The sequence below is a fragment of the Homo sapiens genome, chromosome 1, assembly GCF_000001405.40.
Source record: "Homo sapiens chromosome 1, GRCh38.p14 Primary Assembly".
NCBI lineage: Eukaryota > Metazoa > Chordata > Mammalia > Primates > Hominidae > Homo > Homo sapiens.
Window position 1 is genome coordinate 20,752,937 of NC_000001.11, and position 21,057 is coordinate 20,773,993.

General features: G+C 40.4%; 1 protein-coding gene across 18 annotated transcripts in view; it reads right to left on the reverse strand.

Annotated features, from left to right (window-relative positions):
• The window catches only part of HP1BP3 (heterochromatin protein 1 binding protein 3), a 47,042-nt gene that overhangs the window by 12,671 nt on the left and 13,314 nt on the right, over positions 1–21,057 (reverse strand). For 15 of the 18 annotated variants that reach the window (NR_164851.1, NR_164850.1, NM_001376793.1 and 12 more), the window contains 5 exons: positions 20,515–20,674; positions 17,994–18,137; positions 14,648–14,728; positions 12,441–12,595; positions 4,230–4,320 (listed from right to left, as the gene is read on the reverse strand). Coding sequence is in view for 16 of the 18 variants with exons in the window: in NM_001376793.1 (NP_001363722.1) it covers positions 4,230–4,320; positions 12,441–12,595; positions 14,648–14,728; positions 17,994–18,137; positions 20,515–20,674 (631 nt within the window). In the remaining 2 variants the exon portion in view is untranslated. Of the gene's footprint in view, positions 1–1,119; positions 2,469–4,229; positions 4,321–12,440; positions 12,596–14,647; positions 14,729–17,993; positions 18,138–20,514; positions 20,675–21,057 lie in introns of those variants that run through there. The other 3 variants (NM_001376797.1, NM_001376795.1, NM_001376796.1) reach the window with 1 other exon arrangement.

Genomic DNA, 21,057 nt, shown 5'->3' on the forward strand with positions numbered 1-21,057 from the left:
CTTGGAACACGTTTTTTTTTTTTGAGACGGAGTCTCATTCTGTCACCCAGGCTGGAGTGCAGTGGCGTGATCTTGGCTTACTGCAACCTCTGCCTCCTGGGTTCAAGGGATTCTCCTGCCTCAGCCTCCCGAGTAGCTGGGATTGCAGGCATGTGCCACCATGCCCGGCTAATTTCTTGTATTTTTACTAGAGATTGGGTTTCACCATGTTAGCCAGGATGGTCTGGATCTCCTGACCTCGTGATTCGCCCACCTCGGCCTCCCCAAAGTGCTGGGATTACAGGCATGAGCCACCGCGCCTGACCTGTAATACTTTTTTACTTAAAGAAATAACTGACAGCTAACCTATCATTATTCAGACTTGGTTATGAGGTAGACAGTATCTTGCAAATGAACTAAAAGAGCCTGTCATGTAAAAAAATAATAGTATTTGTTGCCAATGATAAAATTCAACCTTTCAAGAGAAAATTTAAATCCTGAAAAACTTGTGTCCATCACTGTGAGTCTGTTATCTTCCCAATACTTAAATACTGTTCTTATAAGATCAGTGGCCAACACCAATGATTGTAATTTTTGTTGTCGTATATAATGAAATGCCAACATTTGGAAAATCTATGTAACTCTGTGCCACTATTTTTCAAATGACCAATGTATCGTGCTACAAAATTATGAAGGATTAAAATACCTATTCAAAGTTCAATGAATTTTAAGGTAACACAGTCCAAGAAATTCACTGATTAGGGTTTCAGGTTTCACATGGCAACTAAACTTTAAAGAATTTACCACAAAACAAATAATGTTAACAGACCACACGAACAAAGGACACAAACCACACAATCATCTCAACAGACACTGAAAAACCACTTGACAAATCCAATAGCCATTCATGATAAAAACTCCCAGGAAACTAGTAGTATATATAGAAGGGAACTTGCTCAACCTGACAATAGGCATCTATGAAAAACCTATAGCTAACTTGTGAAGGACTGAATGCTTTCTCTCCAGGATGTGGAACAAGGCGAAGATGTCTGCTGTTACCACTTCTACTCAACACTGTAATGGAGGTTAATCTAGAGCAATCAGGCAATCAGAAGAAGTAAAAGACATCCAGACTAGAAACAAAGAAGTAAAATGCTCTTTATTTGCAGATAACAGATCCTGTATGTAGAAAACTGTAAGGAATTCACAAAGAAACTACTACAACTGGTGAGTTCAGCAAGGGCGAAGGATACAAGAGCAATGGACAAATCGATTGTATTTCTACAGGTTAGCGTTAACAACCTGAAAACGAAAATTAGAAAACACTTCCACCATTCAAGACAGCATGGAAAAAGAATAAAATACTTGGCAATAAATTTAACAAAAAAAATTCAAGACTCGTACACCGAACAACTACAAAACACTGCTGAGAGAAATTAAATAAAGAGACCTCTGTGTCATGGATTGGAAAACTCAACGTTGTTGACAGTGAGTCTCCCCAAATTGATCTATAGGTTCAAGGCAATTCCTACCAAAACTCCAGCTGTTTTTTTGGTTTTTTTTTTTTGGCAGAAATGGACAATTTGTATGGAACTGTACAGGACCCGGCATAGTCAAAACATTCCTGAAAAAGTTAGAGGGCTTATAATTCCAAATTTCAAAATTCACTATAAAGCTACAGTCAGTAAGACAGTGCAGTATTAGCATGAAGGATACACCTACAGAACAAAAGAGAACTCAGAATCCGGAAATAAACCCTTATATTTATGGTCAATTGATTTTCATAAGATGCTACGGCAATTCAATAGGGAAGGGACAGTCTTTTCAATAAAAGGTGCTGGAATAATCACACACCCACATGCAAAAAGATAAATTATACCCTTACCTCTCACTATAAACAAAACAATATAGATCACAGACCTAAATGTAGGAGCCAAAATTATAAAACTCTTAAAACGTACGAGTAAATTTTCATTACCTTTAATTAGGCAATGTTTCTTAGATAACCATAAAACTGCAAAAGCAATTTTTAAAAATGATAAATAGGACTTCATCAAAAAGTAAACGCTTCAAAAGATACTACTGAGAAAGTCACAGAATAGGAGAAAAAATCTGATGAGACTTTATGTCTAGAGTAATGAATTCTTGTTAACGAATAACCAACCCCCTTTTAAAAATGGGCAAAAGATTTGAATAAACATTTCACTACAGACAATAAACAAATGGCCTTAAGCACAAGAGATGCTCAACATCAGTAATTATTAGGGAAATGCCAATCAAAACTACAACGAGATACCCTATATCCACTAGTATGGCTATAATAAAAAAGAGTAACAAACGTTGAGGAGGATATGGAGAAACTCGAGCCCTGGTCAGGTGTGGTGGATCACACCTGTAATTCCAACACTTTGGGAAGCTGAGGCAGGCAGACTACTTCACTGAACCCAGGAGTTCAAGAGTAGCCTGGGCAACACGGCGAAACCCCATTTCTACAAAAAATACAAAAATTAATCAGGCATGGTGGTGGTGCACGCCTATAATCCCAGCTATTAGGGAGGCTAAGATGGGAGGATTGCTTGAGCCAGGGAGGTGGAGGTTGCAGTGAGCCAAGATCACACCACTGCACTCTAGCCTGGGTGACAGAGTGAGACCCTATCTCAAAACAAAACAAAACGACTTGAGCCCTTATAAACACTGCCAGTTTCTTAGAACATAAATTTACCATATGGCCCAGCAAGTCCTAAAAACATATCCACGCAGACTTGAACATAAATGTTCATAGGCAGTATTATTCATAATTAGCTGAAAAGTAGAAATAATCCAAATGTCCATCATCATCTCATGAATGGATAAACAAAATGTGACATCCATAGAATGAAATACTATTGGACAATAAAAAAGAATGAAAGCACTGGTACATGCTGCAACGTGGATAAAATTCAAAAACATCATGCCAAAAGAAGCCAGACACAAAAGATCATATAGTACATGATTCTAGATTCTATCCATATGAAATGTGAACAAAATGCAAATCTGCAGAGAGACAGAACAGACTAGAGGTTGCCTGAGGCTGCTGGTGGAATAGGGAGTGACTGCAAATGGCTACAAGGGATCTTTTTTGGGTGACAGAAATGTCCGAAAATTGGACTGTGATAGTTGTACAATTCTATAAAGTTACTGAAAATCACTGAGTTATAAACTGTAATTATATAAATTAAATTGTATAAGGTATGCAAATCAACCTCAATAAAGCTGTTAAAAAAATAACGATTTGTTGAGTTTTGGTGTAGTATCAAAGAATAATTTCTACAACTATCTCAAAGTTATCTTAAAATATTCCATCCTTTTCTAATTGTATTTCTGTGTAAGGTTAGATTTTCTTCAAATAAGTAACCCAAAATAAACTGGAACAGATACTAGCTGTCTTCTGTTATGCTAGATGTTAAAGATGTTTGCAAAAATGTAAACAGTGCCTGACGACTTCTCATTAAAAAAAAAAAATTGGGGAAGACGGATTATAGGCTCACACCTACAATCCCAGCACTTTGGGAGGCTGACGCTGGAGGACCCCTTGAACCTGGGAGATAGAGGCTACAGTGAGCTGTGATTGTGCCACTGCACTCCAGCCTGGGAAACAGAGAGAAACACTGTCTCAAAAAAAAGGCCGGGAGGTGGCAGGGGGAGGACAGCTATTTTTCACTAAAAAATATGTCATTTATGTTAATATGTAATGGGTTTTCTACTAGTATTTTAAAGTAAATCAATAAATATTTAAATTTTTCCTCAGTGTTAATTTCTTTGTGTTTTTTTGTTTGTTTGAGATGGCATCTCGCTCTGTCACCTAGCCTAGAGCACAGTGGTGCAATCTTGGCTCAATGCAACCTCCACCTCCCGCGTTCAAGTGATTCTCCTGCCTCAGCCTCCCAAGTAGTTGGGACCACAGGCATGTGCCCCCACGCCCAGCTCATTTTTGTATTTTTAGTGGAGACGACAGGGTTTCACCAGGCTGGTCTCGAACTCCCAACCGCAGGTGATCCACCTGCCTTAGCCTCCCAAAGTGCTGGGATTACAGGTGTGAGCCACCGCACCCAGACCTCAATGTTAATTTCTAACATAGTAAATGTTGACAGATATAACCCACATAAACAAAAGTTCTTTGAGGTCCTCAATAAATTTTTACAGTATAAGGAGGTCCTGAAACCAAAAACTTTAAGAAGCACTTCTCCACAACCAGGCCTCTGATCTCTAACCTGGAATGTCCCCGAAGCACCTTTGCCAGTTATCTGTTCTAACTGGCCCCTCTCTACTGCTCTCTGCAGAGCGTTCTTCAACAGCTGAGGCCTGCAAAGAAAAACAAAAAAAAAATAGTGATAAATACATTAATGAAAGAAAAATGTAAAGAAATAGATACAGGGTTATTCCCAGATCTAGAGTTCTGATTACTATTATTATTATTATTTTTTTTTTTTTTTTGAGGTGGAGTTTTGCCCTTGTTGCCCAGGCTGGAGTGCAATGGCACGATATTGGCTCACTGCAACCTTCACTTCCCAGGTTCAAGCAATTCTCCTGCCTCAGCCTCCCGAGTAGCTGGGATAACAGGCATGCGCCACCACACCCGGCTAATTTTGCATTTTTAGTAGAGACGGGGTTTCTCCATATTGGTCAGGCTGGTCTCGAACTCCCGACCTCAGGTGATCTGCCTGACTCGGCCTCCCAAAGTGCTGGGATTACAGGTATGAGGCACCACGCCTGGCTGAAGATTAGATTTTAACATTTGACTTCTAACGCTGTATGACAGACCTAGAAAATTTCCAAAGACACCTTCTTCAAGGCCAACTCTGAGTCTCTATATACCCAATATGCCCAGTTCTTCTTCTAGGGTTGCAAAAAAATCACTGTTATCAAATTAAGAAGGTGACTTGCATGTTATATTAAAAACCAATGTCTTGGCCAGGCGCGGTGGCTCACGCTTGTAATCCCAATACTTTGGGAGGCCGAGGCGGGTGGATCACGAGATCAGGAGTTCGAGACCAGCCTGGCCAACATAGTGAAACCTCAGCTCTACTAAAAATACAAAAAAATTAACGGGGCGTGGTGTCAGGCAACTGTAGTCCCAGCTACTCAGGAGGCTGAAGCAGGAGAATCATTTGAACCCGGGAGGCGGAGGTTGCAGTGAGCTGAGACCATGCCATTGCAATCCAACCTAGGCAACGGAGCAAGACTCTGTCTCAAAAATAAAAAATAAAAAACAAAACAAAAAAATTATGTCTTTAAATATTAGAATCCTATTTAGCATGCTGTAATGGTCATACTATGAGAAGCTGGAACTGAGACTAGTAAGAATAACATTAGTTGAACATTTACTAGGTACCAAGGACTATTCTAAGAAGTGCTTCGCACATACTAAGAGACTTAAACCCTATGGGTTAAACACTCCTTTTTTTTTTTGAGACGCATTCTCCCTCTGTCACCCAGGCTGGAGTGCAGTGGCGCGATCTCAGGTCACTGCAACCTCCGCCCCCTCAGGTTCAAGTGATTCTCCTGCCTCAGCCTCCTAAGTAGCTGGGACTACAGGCGCGTGCCACCACGCCCGGCTAATTTTTTGTACTTTTAGTAAAGACGGGGTTTCACTGTGTTAGCAAGGATGGTCTTGATCTTCCGACCTCATGATCTGCCCGCCTCAGCCTCCCAAAGTGCTGGGATTACAGGTGTGAGCCACCACACCTGGCCTTTTTTTTTTTTTTTTCTGAGAGAGGATCTCACTGTGTCACTCTGGATGGAGTGCAGTGGTATGACCATGGCTCACTGTAGCCTTGATCTCCCAGGCTCAAGCAACCCTTCCGCTGCTTCAGCCTCCCGAGTAGTTGGGACTATAGGCACATGCCACTACACCAGCTAATTTTTGTTATTTTTTTTTTGTACAGAGGGGGTTCCACTATGTTGCCCAGCCTGGTCTCGAACTTGTAGGTTCAAGCGATCCTCCCGCTTCGGCCTCCCAAAGTGCTGGGATTACACATGTGAACCGCAGCACCTGGCTGGGAGAGAGGTTTTGGTTGGTCATTATCAACCAAATACAACGTGTGGGCCATGTTAGGAAAAACAACTGTAAAATATCATTCTGGAGACAATTAAGGACATTTGAACATGGACTGGGTACTAGATAATACTAAGAAATTATTAATTTTGTTAAGAATGATTTAAGTGGCCGGGCGAGGTGGCTCACACCTGTAATCCCAGAACTCTGGGGGGCCGAGGCCGGCAGATCACCTGAGGTTGGGAGTTTGACACCAGCTTGACCAACATGGAGAAACCCCATTTGTACTAAAAATACAAAATTAGTCAGGTGTGGTGGCGCATGCCTGTAATCCCAGCTACTTGGGAGGCTGATGAGGCAGAAGAATTGCTTGAACCCAGGAGACGGAGGTTGCGGTGAGCCAAGATCGTGCCATTGCACTCCAGCCTGGGCAACAAGAGCAAAACTCTGTCTCCAAACAAAAAAAAGAATGATTTAAGTATGATGGTTAATGTTCTCTATCCTTCTTTGTATATGTTTGAAAATTTCCAAAATAAAACATTTAAGAAAGTATTAAGGGCTCCTTCTGTCATGTGAGGATACAATGAGAAGAAGGCACTCTGACACCCAGAAGAGGCCCTCACAGAACCCAACCATGCTGGCACCCTGATCTCAGACTTCGAGTCTGCACAACTGTGAGAAATACATTTCTCTTGTTTATATGCCCAAGTAACAAGAATAATAAAAATAGTCAAGGCAGGCCTTTGGTGATGACATCAGACTAAAAACTTAAGGAAGTAAAGGAACTGGCAAAGTGGCTTATGGGGAAAAATACATTCAGGTAAAGGGAATGCAACACAAAGGCTCTGAGACCAGTGAGAGAGTGAAGAGGAGTAGCTTAGGTCAGAGATACAAGTGAGTGTAGTGCCTTGTGGGCCATTTTAAAGACCGATTTTTTTTTTTTTTTTTTTTTGCCCCGAGACAGAGTCTTGCTCTGTCGCCCAGGCTGGAGTGCAGTGGCACAATCTCGGCTCACTGCAACCTCTGCCTCCTGGGTTCAAGCAATTCTCCTGCCTCAGCCTCCTGAGTAGCTGGGATTACAGGCATGTGCCACCATGCCCGGCTAATTTTTGTATGCTTAGTAGAGATGGGGTTTCACCATGTTGGCCAGGAAGGTCTCCAACTCTTGACCTTGTGATCCACCCGCCTCAGACTCCCAAAGTGCTGGGATTACAGACGTGAGCCACCACACCCAGCCCTACAGACTGATTTTTTAACTGTGACGGGATTGGGAAGACACTGAATGTTTGAGTAGAAAGGCGACATGACACTGGACACAGTGGCTCACACCTGTAATCCCAACACCTGGGTGGCCGAAGCAGGAGGATCACTTGAGGCCAGGAGTTAAAGACCAGTCTGGGCAATGTAGGGAGATTCTGTCTCTATTAACAATTTAAAAACTACTAGCTGTGTGTGGTGACACATTCCTGCAGTCCCAGCTACTTTTGAGGCCACAGTGGGAGGATCGTTTGAGCCTAGGAGTTCGAGGTTGCCATGAGCCACGATCTTGCCACTATACTCCAGTCTGGGCAACAGAGCAAGACCCCAGCTTGGAAAAAAAAAAAAGTGACAGGCTGGGCACAGTGGCTCACGTCTGTAATCCTTTGGTAGGCCAAGGCGGTCAGATCACTGGAGGCCAGGAATTTGAGACCAGCCTGGCCAACATGGTGAAACTCTGTCTCTACTAAAAATACAAAAATTACCCGGGTGTGGTGGCACAGCCTGTAATCCCAGCTACTCGGGAGGCTGAGACAGGAAAATCGCTTGAACCGAGGAGGCGGAGGTTGCAGTGAGCCGAGATCATGCCACTGCACTCCAGCCTGGGCAACAGAACAAGATTCCTTCTCAAATAAATAAATAAATAAATTTTAAAAAGTGATAGAACTTACATTTTTAAAAAAGTCTCACTCTCACTATGATGGTAAGAACATACTGAAAGGGAGCATGAAAAAAGCAGTTAAGAAGTTATTGCTCTAATACAGGTGAGAGATGATGGTGGCCTGGAAGAGAATGGTAGTGCAGGTGATGACAAGTAGTCTGTTTACTGATATATTTTATTTTATTTATTTATTTGGAGACGGAGCCTCACTCTGTCGCCCAGGCTGGAGTGCAGTGGTGTGATCTTGGCTCACTGCAGACTATGCCTCCCAGGTTTAAGTGATTCTCTTGCCTTGGCCTCTTGAGTAGCTGGAACTACAGGCACGTGCCACCATGCATGGCTAATTTTTTTGTATTTTTAGTAGAGATGGGGTTTCACCATGTTGGCCAGGCTGGTCTCGAACTCCTGACCTCATGTGATCCACCTGCCTCCCAAAGTGCTGGGATTACAGGCATGAGCCACAGTACCCAGCCTGTTTACTGATATATTTTAAAGACAGAGCAAAAATAATTGCTTATAGATTAGATAAAGGTGTCTGATAAAGAGAAGAGACCAGCACAAAGTCAGGGTTTTTGGTTTCAGCACATGGAAGGATAATATTGTCATGAACTGAAATGAAGATAATGTGGGAAATGCAGGGATTTTTGGGGGGAGAGGGAGCAGAGTGGGGATCATTAAATGTTTTCAACATTTAAATCAGACATCCAAGTGCTGATGCTGAACAGGCATCCGTATACACGAATCTGAAGTTAGAAGGGAGGTATGGGCTAGATTCATACATTTGTGAATTAATAGTTTATAGCTGGTATTTACAGTTTTGCAAGTGAAAGGAATCACCAAGTGAATGTGGACATAAAAGATGAGAGGCCTAAGGTATAACCCTGAGGGCTCCTTTCTATTAAGAGGTAAAGCAGAAATCCTTAGGAGATTGAGAAACGAAGGGTAAAAAGGTTACAGAAAAATCAGGAAAGTGTGGTGTCCTGGAAGGCAAGTGAAGAAAATGTTTCAAGCAGGTAGGAGTCATCAACTGTGTCAAATGCCATTGAGAGGGCAGCTGGTAAGGACTATGAATTGACCACTGAAATTTCCAACGTGGAGACTGACAGAAAATATTCAGGTAAAGTGGTGGGGATAAAGTCTGACTAAAGTGGAGAAAGTGGAAGGGGAGACATTGTAGATACCAGTATAGACAACTTACACTTTGGTGAAACTGTATTTTTCTTCCTCTTTTGTTTGGCCAAGCAAGAATGGCTGAATTTTCAAGTTAAATGTGTATATGAAAGGACTCCATTATAATCAAGAATTAGAGAAAATCAATATGGTTTCACATAAGAGAAAAAAGTTTCAATGGAAAAAATTACCATTAAAAAGGCCATGAGAAAAGGTCTTCAGGTTCATTAGCACCTTTGGGTTGACAACCCATCCATTATCAGGTAAATTTTGTTTCAGCCTAAGGTCATGACAATATGTTTCAAAAGAAGTGCAGCAAAGGCACACTGGTAGCAACACACTACCTTATGTAAGTAGAGTAGAACTACAAGAAAAAAAAATGGGGGAAGATATGGTCTCCACTCACCAAAAAGCAGAGAATAAAGGCTGTGAAAAGAAAATAAATCTTGGGATCCCCTAATCACAAACCCTAATCACGAATCCCCTAATCACAAGGAAAATCCTTGCAGACAAACGACAGACAGAACTTCAAGTCATTCATCTGCTGAGATAAATGCATATCTGATTGCCTCCTTTGAAAAAGCTAATCAGAAACTCAAAAATAATGAAATTCTTTGTCTTTTATTTACCTATGACCTAGAAGCCCCCTCCCTGATTTGAGTTGTCCCACCTTTCCAGACCAAACCAACATACACCTTACATATATTAATGTCTCATGTTTCCCTAAAATGTGTAAAACCAAGCTGTGCCCAGACCACCCTGGGCACAAGTTTTCAGAACCTCCTGAGGCTGTGTCACGGGCACAATCTTAACCTTGGCAAAATAAACTTTCTAAATTGACTGAGACCTGTCTCAGATATTTTGGGGTCACACAAAGGAGATAAAAGTGAAATATGATCCCCAGTGTTGCAGGTGGGGCCTAGTGGGAGGTGTCTGAGTTATAGGGATGGCTTCGTGAATGGCTTCGTGCCTTCCTGGCCGTAATGAGCGGGTTGTTTAAAACAACTGGTTGTTTTAAGAGTGTGAGATCTGGTTAAGAGTGTGGCACCTTTCCCTCCTCTCTTGCTCCCTTTTTTGCCATGTGATACGATAGCTCCTCCTTCCACCATGATTGTAAGTTTCCTGAAGCCCTCACTAGAAGCAGACGCCTGCACTATGCTTCTTGTACAGCCTGCAGTACCATGAGCCAAATAAACTTTATTCTTTGTTAAAGAATAGTGAAATATGTTTCCATCTTTAAATGCATCATATAACGCATTTTTGATCCACAATTGTGTCTGCCTACTACCACTATACTCAGCATATAAGAAGCATGAAAATATCAGCACATTAATTTAGAACTTTCTGCTTCTATAATTCCCTTTTCTTTTGCACTATTTCACTAGCTCTTTAATTTGGCATTCTGATGACCACTACTGATTTTCTGAAAATGTGGCTTCTGGACTGAAACCTCAGCACTTCTAATTGCATGCCTCAGTAATGCAAGTAAATACTGGTACTACACTGTATCGGGACAATGTGCATTCAATATGGTAGTCTTCTGTAGACAGAAATCTGGATTAAACATAATTTTCTAGAAGTCATCTCACACAAACACTCTCAGAGTCTGTGAATTACAAATTTAAACAAATTGATATATCTGCATGAATCTACAACTGAGCAAATGTGACAATCTAAATGATCTGTCAAGACGTTAAATGGCAAATTTTACGTATCAATTACTAACAAAATTATCTCAGAATTTTATGCTGCATGTTTAAATGATGGAAACATTATGCTATTTCTATGTACAGGTGTTATTGAAGCCTGAATTCTCATGAAATATATATATGATGTATATGTATGTACATATGTATGCATATATCTATCATATATATGTTTTTTGAGACTGAGTCTCACTCTGTCACCCAGGCTGGAGTGCTAGGATTACAGGCGTGAGCCACCGTGCCCAGCCTAAAAGTACATTTTAACCCAATACTAGACTCAAAAACTATACCCAGATGCAATTTTTCTTCCTGTTTTTGTAAATACTAACATTCTTCTTCCCAACACATATAATTTCATTTGTGTAAAGTATTTCTATAATAAAATGAAATGTCTTGTACTCATTTATATCAGAAATTGAAATAGTATTTTCTACACTTTTTTTTCTTACAACCCTGAAGCTTTCTATCCTTTTTTTCACAGACTTTTCAAACATTTTCAAAATGAACTTTATGTATTACTTTCTGGTGCTGTACTTCATTATTTAGTTATTAAAGGCTAAGAATAAATTAGGACCCTTAAAGTCTACACTCCTTTTTACTCTTATGGTTTTTTTTTTGAGACGGAGTTTTGCTCTTGGTGCCCAGGCTGGAGTGCAATGGCGCAATCTCGGCTCACTGCGAACTCCACCTCCTGGGTTCAAGCGATTCTCCTGCCTCAGCCTCCTGAGTAGCTGAGACTGCACATGCCCACCACCACAGCCAGCCTAGTTTTTTTTTTGTTTTTTTTCTTTTAAACCTGGTAGAGTAACTCTTTTAATGTTGTCAACTGTTAAGATATTTCATATCTGAGAAGATACACAGTTCAATACTACATATCTTAACAGCTGACAACATTTAAAAGAGTTACTCTACCAGGATCTTACAAAGAAAGATAAGATTTGGGTTTGGAAAAAAAAAAAAAAAAACCACACAAAAAACAAAACTAGGCCAGGCACGGTAACCGGGGCCTGTAATCCCAGCTATTCGGAGGCTGTGGCAGGAAAATCGCTTGAACCCGGGAGTTAGAGGCTGCAGTGAGCTGAGACTGCGCTATTGCACTCCAGCCTGGGTAACAAGAGCAAGACTTCATCTCAAAAAAAAAAAGGCTGGCCACAGCGGCTCACGCCTGTAATCCTAGCACTTTGGGAGGCCGAGGCAGGTGGATCACTTGAGTTCAAGAGTTCGAGACCAGCCTGGCCAACATGATGAAACCTTGGCTCTACTAAAAATACAAAAATTAGCTGGGTGTCGTGGCGGGTGCCTGTAGGCGCAGCTACCCGGGAGGCGGAGGCAGGAGAATCCTTTGAACCCGGGAGGCAGAGGCTGCAGTGAGTTGAGATGGTGCCACTGCACTCCAGCCTGGGTGACAAGAACAAATCTGTCTCAAAAAACTAAAAAAAAAAAAAAAAAAAAAATTATACATGGAGATATGAAAATAAAAACATAATGGGGCAAAAAAATAAAACCAATAAAAAAGATTTATTTTTAGCTGAAAGTAATCCTTCCTCAGTATTTAATCTATCTCTTTTCCCATGAAAAGGGAGCTAAAGGAAGTAACACATCATGTTTTAAAGGCCAGGCCAATGGCTCATACCTGATGTCCACTCTAAGCTTAGGATAATACTGAGACACATATTTCCTGATGAGACTGTAGGAAGCTTCTTTAGGTTCACAAAGGCGAGTAAAGGCCAGTGGGAGGACATCCTCCAATTTTACTTGTGGTTCTGGATCCACTGCAGAGCTCCTATTCTGAAAAGTAATTATCAAAAATTATGATCATTATAGAACGTAAATGTTTCTACATACAACTCAAGGGCTTTCCTCAGTTGATTACCAAATTTGTCAATTTTATGGCAATTTCTTTGATATAAAATTTTCAATGGACAGCATTAAAAATACATATAAAAGCTGGGTGTGGTGGCTCACACCTGTAATCCCAGCACTTTGGGAGGCCGAGGTGGGCAGATCACCTGAGGTCAGGAGTTAAAGACCAGCCTGGCCAACATTGCAAAACCTCCTCTCTACTAAAAATACAAAAATTAGCCAGACGTCGTAGCCTGTAATCCCAGATACTTGGAAGGCTGAGGCACAAGAACTGCTTGAACCCGGGAGGTGGAGATTGCAGTGATGCAAGATGGAGCCACCGCACTCCAGCCTGGGTGACAGAACGAGACTCCGTCTCAAAAAAAAAAAAAAACAAAAAAAACACAACAAAACAAGAAAAAGGAGCCAGGTGTGGTGGCTCACGTCTGTAATCCCAGCACTTTGGGGGGCTGAGGTGGGCTGATAACCTGAGGTCTCAAGTTTGAGACCAGCCTGACCAACATGGTAAAACTCTGTCTCTAATAAAAATACATAATTAGCCAGGCATGGTGGCATGCACCTGCAATCTCATTTACTCAGGAGGCTGAGGCAGGAGAATCACTTGAACCCGGAAGGCGGAGGTTGCAGAGATCCGAGATTGCATTATTGCACTCCAGCCTGAGCAACAAGAGCGAAACTCCGTCTCAAAACACACACACAAAAAACACACATAAAAGTAAAAAGGAGTGTAGATTTTAAAGGTCCTAATTTATGAAGTACAGCACCAGAAAAAAATGCATAAAGTTCATTTTGAAAGTGTTTGAAAAGTCTATGAAAAAAGGATAAAAAGCTTCAGAGTTGTAAAACAAAAAAAAAAGGTGTAGAAAAATATTATTTCAATTTCTGATATAAATGAGTACAAGACATTTCACTTTATTATTGTAGAAATACTTTACACAAATGAAATTATATGTGTTGGGAAGAAGAATGTTAGTATTTACAAAAACAGGAAGAAAAATTGGATCTGGGTATTGTTTTTGGGTCTAGTATTTGGTAAAAATGTACTTTTAGGCTGGGCATGGTGTGGTTCACATCTATCATCCCAGCACGTTGGGAGGCGGAGGCAGGCAGATCACCTGAGGTCAGGAGGTGGAGGCCAGCCTGGCCAACATAGTGAAACTCCATCTCTACTAAAAATACAAACATTAGCTGGGAACGGTGGCACATGCCTGTAGCAGTCCCAGCTACTGGGGAGGCTGAGGCAGGACAAGCACTTGAATCCGGGAAGCAGAGGTTGCAGTGAGCCAAGATCGTGCCACTGCACTCCAGCCCGGGCAATAGAGCAAGATTCTATCTTAGAAAAGAAAACAAACAAACAAACAAACAAAAAAACAGAGGACTCTTATACCTCCTCTAGTTTAAAAGATATTTCACAAAAAGCAGTATAATTCAGCTGGGAGCAATGGCTCACCCTGTAAATCCCAGCACTTTGGGAGGCAGAGGCGGGCAGATCACTGAGGTCAAGAGTTCAAGACCAGCCTGGCCAACACGGTAAAACCCTGTCTCTACTAACAAAAAAAATTAGTCAGGCACTGTGGCGAGTGCCTGTAATCCCAGCTACTCAGGAGGCTGAGGCAGGAGAATTGCTTGAATCCAGGAGGCGGAGGTTGCAGCTAGCTGAGATCATGTCACTGCACTACAGCATGGGCAACAGAGCAAGACTCCATCTCAAAACAAAAAACAGTGTAATTTATATAGCTGCCCATAATTTAATATAAGGCACTTAAGAGCACAGGCTTAACCAGGTTGGACTGCTTGGATCTGCACCTTGGCTATTCTACTCACTAGAGGAACAAATTATTTATAACTTCCCTAGGCCTTAGCAGAAAGGCTGAACCTTGCATAGTGCCAGGCACACAGCAAACACTCAATGAATGTTGCTATTTTTAGTAGCAGTAACAGCTCCACAGCACTCAAACTGTGGTATAGATGTCTTACCTTTCTGTTTCTGGATTTCTGAGGTGTTTTTCTTGATTTCTGAACCACAACAAAACTTCCAGAAGCACCTTTTCCTTTAACCTAAAGTAAATTAATTTTTGTTATTCTAGTATTCATAACTTTACAGTAGGCTAAGGAAATTACAGGCCATGGTAATGCAAGAGCTAATGTAAAGTGGTGTTTACTTCTTCAGAGAAAAAAAAAAAAACAGTCAATGCAGAGTCAAAAGACTTCAGATGAAAGCTCCTTTATATACCATCTAGCTGATGCTGAGTAATACTGGACAACCCAGTTAACCCTCTGAGCTTTTGTTTTCTCATCTACAAAATTTTGGGAAGAATGCTACTGTGATACCACGTTAAACAGTTTATTAAAAACTTTCAAAATGAAATAAAAAATCAAAACAAAAATGTCCCAAAAAAGGAAGGGACACAATCTCTTAGGGAAATAAGAAAAGCCCTCACTGTCTTAAAAGCACCTTGGAAAAAGTTTAGAGCCTAATTAGTCTCAGACCACGTAACTTCCCACAGTTTACCAATGATACATTATTCCTTATGGGAAGGGTTATCCAACAATTTTTTGGCTGGGCGCGGTGGCTCATGCCTGTAATCCCAGCACTTTGGGAGGCCGAGGCGGGCGAATCACGAGGTCAGGAGATCGACACCATCCTGGCTAACACAGTGAAACCCCGTCTCTACTAAAAATACAAAAAATTAGCCGGGCGTGGTGGCGGGTGCCTGTAGTCCCAGCTATTCGGGAGGCTGAGGCAGGAGAATGGCGTGAACCCAGGAGGCAGAGCTTGCAGTGAGCTGAGATCGCTCCACTCCACTCCAACCTGGGTGACAGAGCGATACTCCGTCTCAAAAAACAAACAAACAATTTTTTAGCCACTGCACACAATGGTATGTTAAGTTTTACCACATATTTCCAGTTCACAAAGCACTTTCATAAAATTTTAAAGTTGATTCACAATAGGCCAGGCACGGTGGTTCATTCCTATAATCCCAGCATTTTGGAAGGCCGAGGTGGGCAGATCACTTGAGGTCAAGAGTTTGAAACCAGCCTGGCCAATGTGGTAAAACCCCATCTCCACTAAAAATACAAAAATTAGCTGGGTGTGGTAGCGGGCGCCTGTAATCCCAGCTACTCAGGAGACTAAGGCAGGAGAATTGCTTGAACACGGGAGGCAGAGGGTGTAGTGAGCTGAGACCATGCCATTGTGTAACAGAGCGAGACTCCATCTCAAAAAAAAAGTTGATTCACAATAACTAAAGTCCTCCACAGCTTAGTTTTACCTACACTGCTATCAATGCAGCAATCAAGCTGGAATGCTTTTAGCCTACTAAGAGTTGTTTAGGCATCAAACCAAGGGTGGTCAGGCTATGTAGGCTAGAGCAGGTCATAAACTAAAACATGAAGCCATCTCATAAGCTTTGCTGACATGTTACACAACAGGTCCTTGGCTCTAATAATTATATTAACTAGGTAAGACTTTTTAGTCAACGATAATTTTGTTTTATTTTAGAGACAGGGTCTCACTCTGTCACCCATGCTGGAGTGCAGTGGCACAATCATAGCTCATTGCTATGTTAGCTCATAGCTCAACTCAAGCGATCCTCCTGCCTCAGCCTCATGAGTTGGGACTAGAGGCATGCACCCCTACATTTGGCTAATTTTTAAGTTTTTTGTAAAGGCTGGGCATGGTGGCTCACGTCTGTAATCCCAGCACTTTGGGAGGCTGAGGTGGGTGAATCACTTGGGCCCAGGAGCTTGAGACCAGCCTGGGCAACATGGCAAAACCTTGTCTCTACAAAGAATACAAAAATTAGCTGGGTGTGCTGGTGCACACCTATAGTCCCAGGTACTCGGGAGGCTGAGGTGGGAAGACGGCTGGAGCCCAGCAGGTAGAGAGTGCGGTGAGCTGACATTGCACCTCTGCACCCCAGCCTGGGCCAGAGTGAGATCCTGTCTCAAAAAGTAAAATAAAATAGAATAAAGAAATAATTTTTTTGTAGAGACAGGGCCTCACCTTGCTATGTTGCCCAGGCTGGTCTCAAACTCCTGGCCTGAAGCAACCCTCCCACCTCAGCGTACAGGTATGAGCCACTGTGCCTGGCCGTCAGTGATAATTTTAAAGGCCATTTAAATATCAGTTTTACATTTTGAGAAAGCTGGACTCCTAGCTCCACAGAGCAGCAATCTGTTTTATTCACTAACAGACCTCCAGGCAACTGGCACATAGGAGACAAGACGTATCTGTGCAATTAAGTACTAGTTGGAAGTCCCTAAGCAGAGCTGAAATGCCTGAGTGGCACAGAATTCTGTTCTGATCAAACAGGCAGGGGGTATAGAAAAAACTTAACAAGACTCTAGGAATGGGGTGAACTAGGTTTTTAAAATTTTTGCCACTACCGTAAGACCTTAGCAGTTATTTCATCACTCTGGACCTCTGAAGAGGGTAACATAATATAAAGTTTATTCTAGCTTTAGATTTCTATGGTTCTAAGTTTCCATGCACTATGCAAGATAAAGTAGATTTATGCCTGAAATCAACATTTGTTCTAGTACTAGTCACATTTCACTCGGGTTTCTCTGATACTCTTAACAGGCTTTAATAGTTTAGATACTAATCAGTTAAGGTGAGCACATTTATGAAGCTAAAAATTAATAGTAACAAGTCTATCATGTAAGTTAGGCTTTAAAGGAAACAAACCTAAGACAAGGGCAATTATTATTTCTGTTATTCCTTTTTGTTTTCAGACAGGGTCTCACTCTCACCGAGGCTGGAGTGGTGAGATCGTAACTCACAATAGCCTCAACCTCCCAGGCTCAAGCGGTCCTCCTGCCTCTGCCTTCCAAGTACCTGGGACTAGAGGCATGTGTCACCAAACCCTGCTGATTTTGTATTTTTTGTAGAGAAGGGGTCTTGCTATGTTGCCCAGGCTGGTCTCGAACTCCTGGGCTCAAGTGATCCTCCCAACTAAGCCTCCCAAGGTGCTGGGACTACAGGTGTAGGCCACCATCCCTAGCCTCATTTTTGCTGTTTCAGTAGTAGGATTCCTTACCTCTTTTTCATGTTCAGTGCTACATGATTTCAAGCACAAGCAGCCCCCCAAAAAATATCCAATTAAGAGCAAAGTAAGCTAGAAAAAAGTTACACTATCTTAATGGCACCAGCATTTTCGAAACCTAGCCTCAGATAATTCAACTAGGTTAAACTTAAGGAATTTCATCATCATGAAACTTATTTTTAACAAAAAAGGCACAAAAAGCCTAAATGTTACTAACTGTAGACTTAAAGCTAATACACAATGAAATGATCTTACTACTAACAATTGTGTAATACCTGTTTGATGACTCCTCTATTTAATTCTCTTTTCAGTGCTTGTTTAAGGAGATAACCCCTTCTCTCCAGCTCCAGAGAAGGATACTTATGGATGATGTATTTTCGAATAGCAACCACTGATGCACCACTCTTCTGGAAGCATGCCTAGAAAAGATTTATTAAACTAGTTGTTTTTTTTTATTAGATAGAGCCTGACATATATTTTCAAAATAAATTATTTTGGAAGTGAATTTGATGATAGATGACAAAAACGGTAGGGAAGAATGAACTTCAGAAGACTTCAGTTCATAATGACTACAGAGAAGTAACAGAATTACTAAATATTTCTACTACAATTTTAAATTGTTCAAAACAGCCTAAGAGACCATACTGAACACGAACAACATTCTATGTATAATGAAGAACCTCTTTCCATTTTAATTCCATTCTGTATTTAGAAGATGAATCTTTGGCATCAAAATGAGAAAAGCAGAACAAACCTATCACTTACAGGATCACAGATCTGTCCCATTTTAAGGCACGAGCTTAAGGAATGAGCATGCCAGGACATTTCCCTGAAGGCTCTGTATGAATGTCAGCAGAAAGAAGAATCAAAGATAATCTGAATAAGTGGCATAAAAATGGGTTTACAGATGGCAAAGTGCTGAAGGAGAGTTTTGGGTAATAGTGAAGGTGTTCTATTTGAATTTAATGTGCCCTCTTCCATTTCCATCCTATTTTACTTATACTCCATTTGACTAATGCACCTGGAAGAATTAAGTAGCTCATTATGTCACAAAGGCAGCAAATACTTAATTTTTTTCAAATGCTTAAAATTTTGTTTTCCAACTGGTCACTGACTTGAAATCAAATACTTTAAATTTTGAAACACACAAAAGTAGCATCTGTCATTTATCTAATGAGCTAGTCCATCAATTTTGTACTGCCACAGTGTCTATTAAATCAATGTAGCACTTATTCATTCTCATTGGATAAGAACTTCGTTGAATGTTTTTATACATTTTGACAACAAAGAAAAATAACTCACAGGTAGATGGTCCAGAAAAGATTGCACAACACGAAACAAGTTGTATTAATATGGGTCATGTAATTCAAGTCTATGTCTCTGAACTATTAATGACCTACTGAGGTTTACTCCTGATCTTAAAAGAAAACACAGAGCAAAGAAAATCAAGCAGAAAAGAACACTAATGCTGAAACAAATAATCTTTTGCTCCACCAATCCGACAGTGAGATGGTAGTAGACATCATGATTCCTGTTCAATACAGAAAATGGTATCCATGGTCTGAAACAATAATTTGTCATATTGCATGGAATACACATTATCTATATAAAATCAATCATCTCCATAAATATGCACAATTATATTCAAACCATTCTTTAAGCCAAATTGATATTGTTTTAATTTTTTATTTCACTATTTTAAAGTTTCAGCCCTTTTTCCATCCTCACTATGATGCTGCTCCTTCAAACCCAGGCTGAGTGGTCATCAAGTGAAATCCTTGAAGAAAGGCTATACAAAGAACAGAGATTTCACTACAGTGAGGTAATCTAGACCAATAAAGTTTTCTTAATGAGGTGAGAGCATAAGAAGTCTTGAAGGAGTAAAGGGAGAAGTCTGAAGGCAAACCCTTTTTCCAGTTTATGTGTTAGTGCTATCTTCTCATATTCTGAGAATGACAACCAGGCTGCTCCTTTTCGTACACATCCCCCCTTTTCTGGTTAAAATCATCTGTATCCCTGTCTCCCCAGTCCTGCCTCAGATCCTAACAACAGGGTCCCTGAAAGATGGGTCTGTTCTAACTCCTCTTATCATCTGATCATATGAACTAAACAAGGCAAAATTAAATGAAAAGACTTATACAATAAAGGCAATGTCAAATTAGAAGATAACCTTTAAAAATTAAAATAGGAAAACTACATCTAATGAAAGTCAATGAAATCATAAATCTATGTAAGGAGGATAATTTTTGTAAGCATTTTGGAATGTCTAGGTAATAAAGCAGTGTTTATTAACAGGGTTCAGGTGTGAAAGATAACCACTACCAAGATCACTTAGCTTTAGAAATGAACCTAGAGATATTTTTTAAACAAAAATTCTCAATATTTTTCAGTTACTGAGTCACAATTAGATTTATAAGGGCAAGGACTTTGCTAGCCTTAGTTAATTCACCACTAGCAGGGGCGCCCAACAGAGGAAGGTAGTCCTTAAATGTTTGTTCAATGAATTAACATTTTCAGCCTTCAAATAAAAACTGTACTTAATCGATAAACTGCATTTAAAAATTCTAAAGTTAAAATATTTGCTATATTAAATATAATTTTTTTAAAAAAATTAACAGTGTTCACCAAATGTGATTATATTAGAAAAACATGAACTTATAATGACTTTCCTCTCTTTAAAACTCCTTTAGGAAGCAGAACAAGATTTATGATGTCTAGACAGATATATGCCATTTTCAAATAAGAAAAAAATGAACATAATAAATCTAAGATGAATTGCTTGAAATAAAAACTTGCCTTAATGGCCTCAGTTAAGATTGCATCCATCTTGGGACGTGGGGAAGAAGCCATCGGTGTTTGTTTCTGGGCCCTGGCTAGCTGGCTGGCAGAAAGGGTAGCCCAGGAAGGAATTGTTTTTTTCACTTTCTTCTCCTTTTCTTTAGACTGATCTTTCTCACTTTAAAACAAAGAATTGTTATTATAGAAGATAAGCTCTCTAGAAAGACGTATAAAGTCAGAAGGAGGAAAAGACCAGGGAGGGATAAAAATTAATGCTTTAATTTATTTACAGGCTAAGATGACATGTACCATAAGCAAAATTTTACAAAATAAATCTTCTTTAAAAACTGGGTACTATAAATGAATTAAAAAGGTATTTTTCTCTTAGCTGCAGGAGAAAGGAGTCACATAAATTAGCACTGGTATAAGGGCTCAGTACATAAGACAAATGAGAATTTTAAAATGCACATTAGTTAACAATTACAACAGATGCAATATGGTATAGTGGAAAAAACTCAAGCTCTTAAAGTCAGAAAACCTTTGTTTGTATTTTCACTCAAA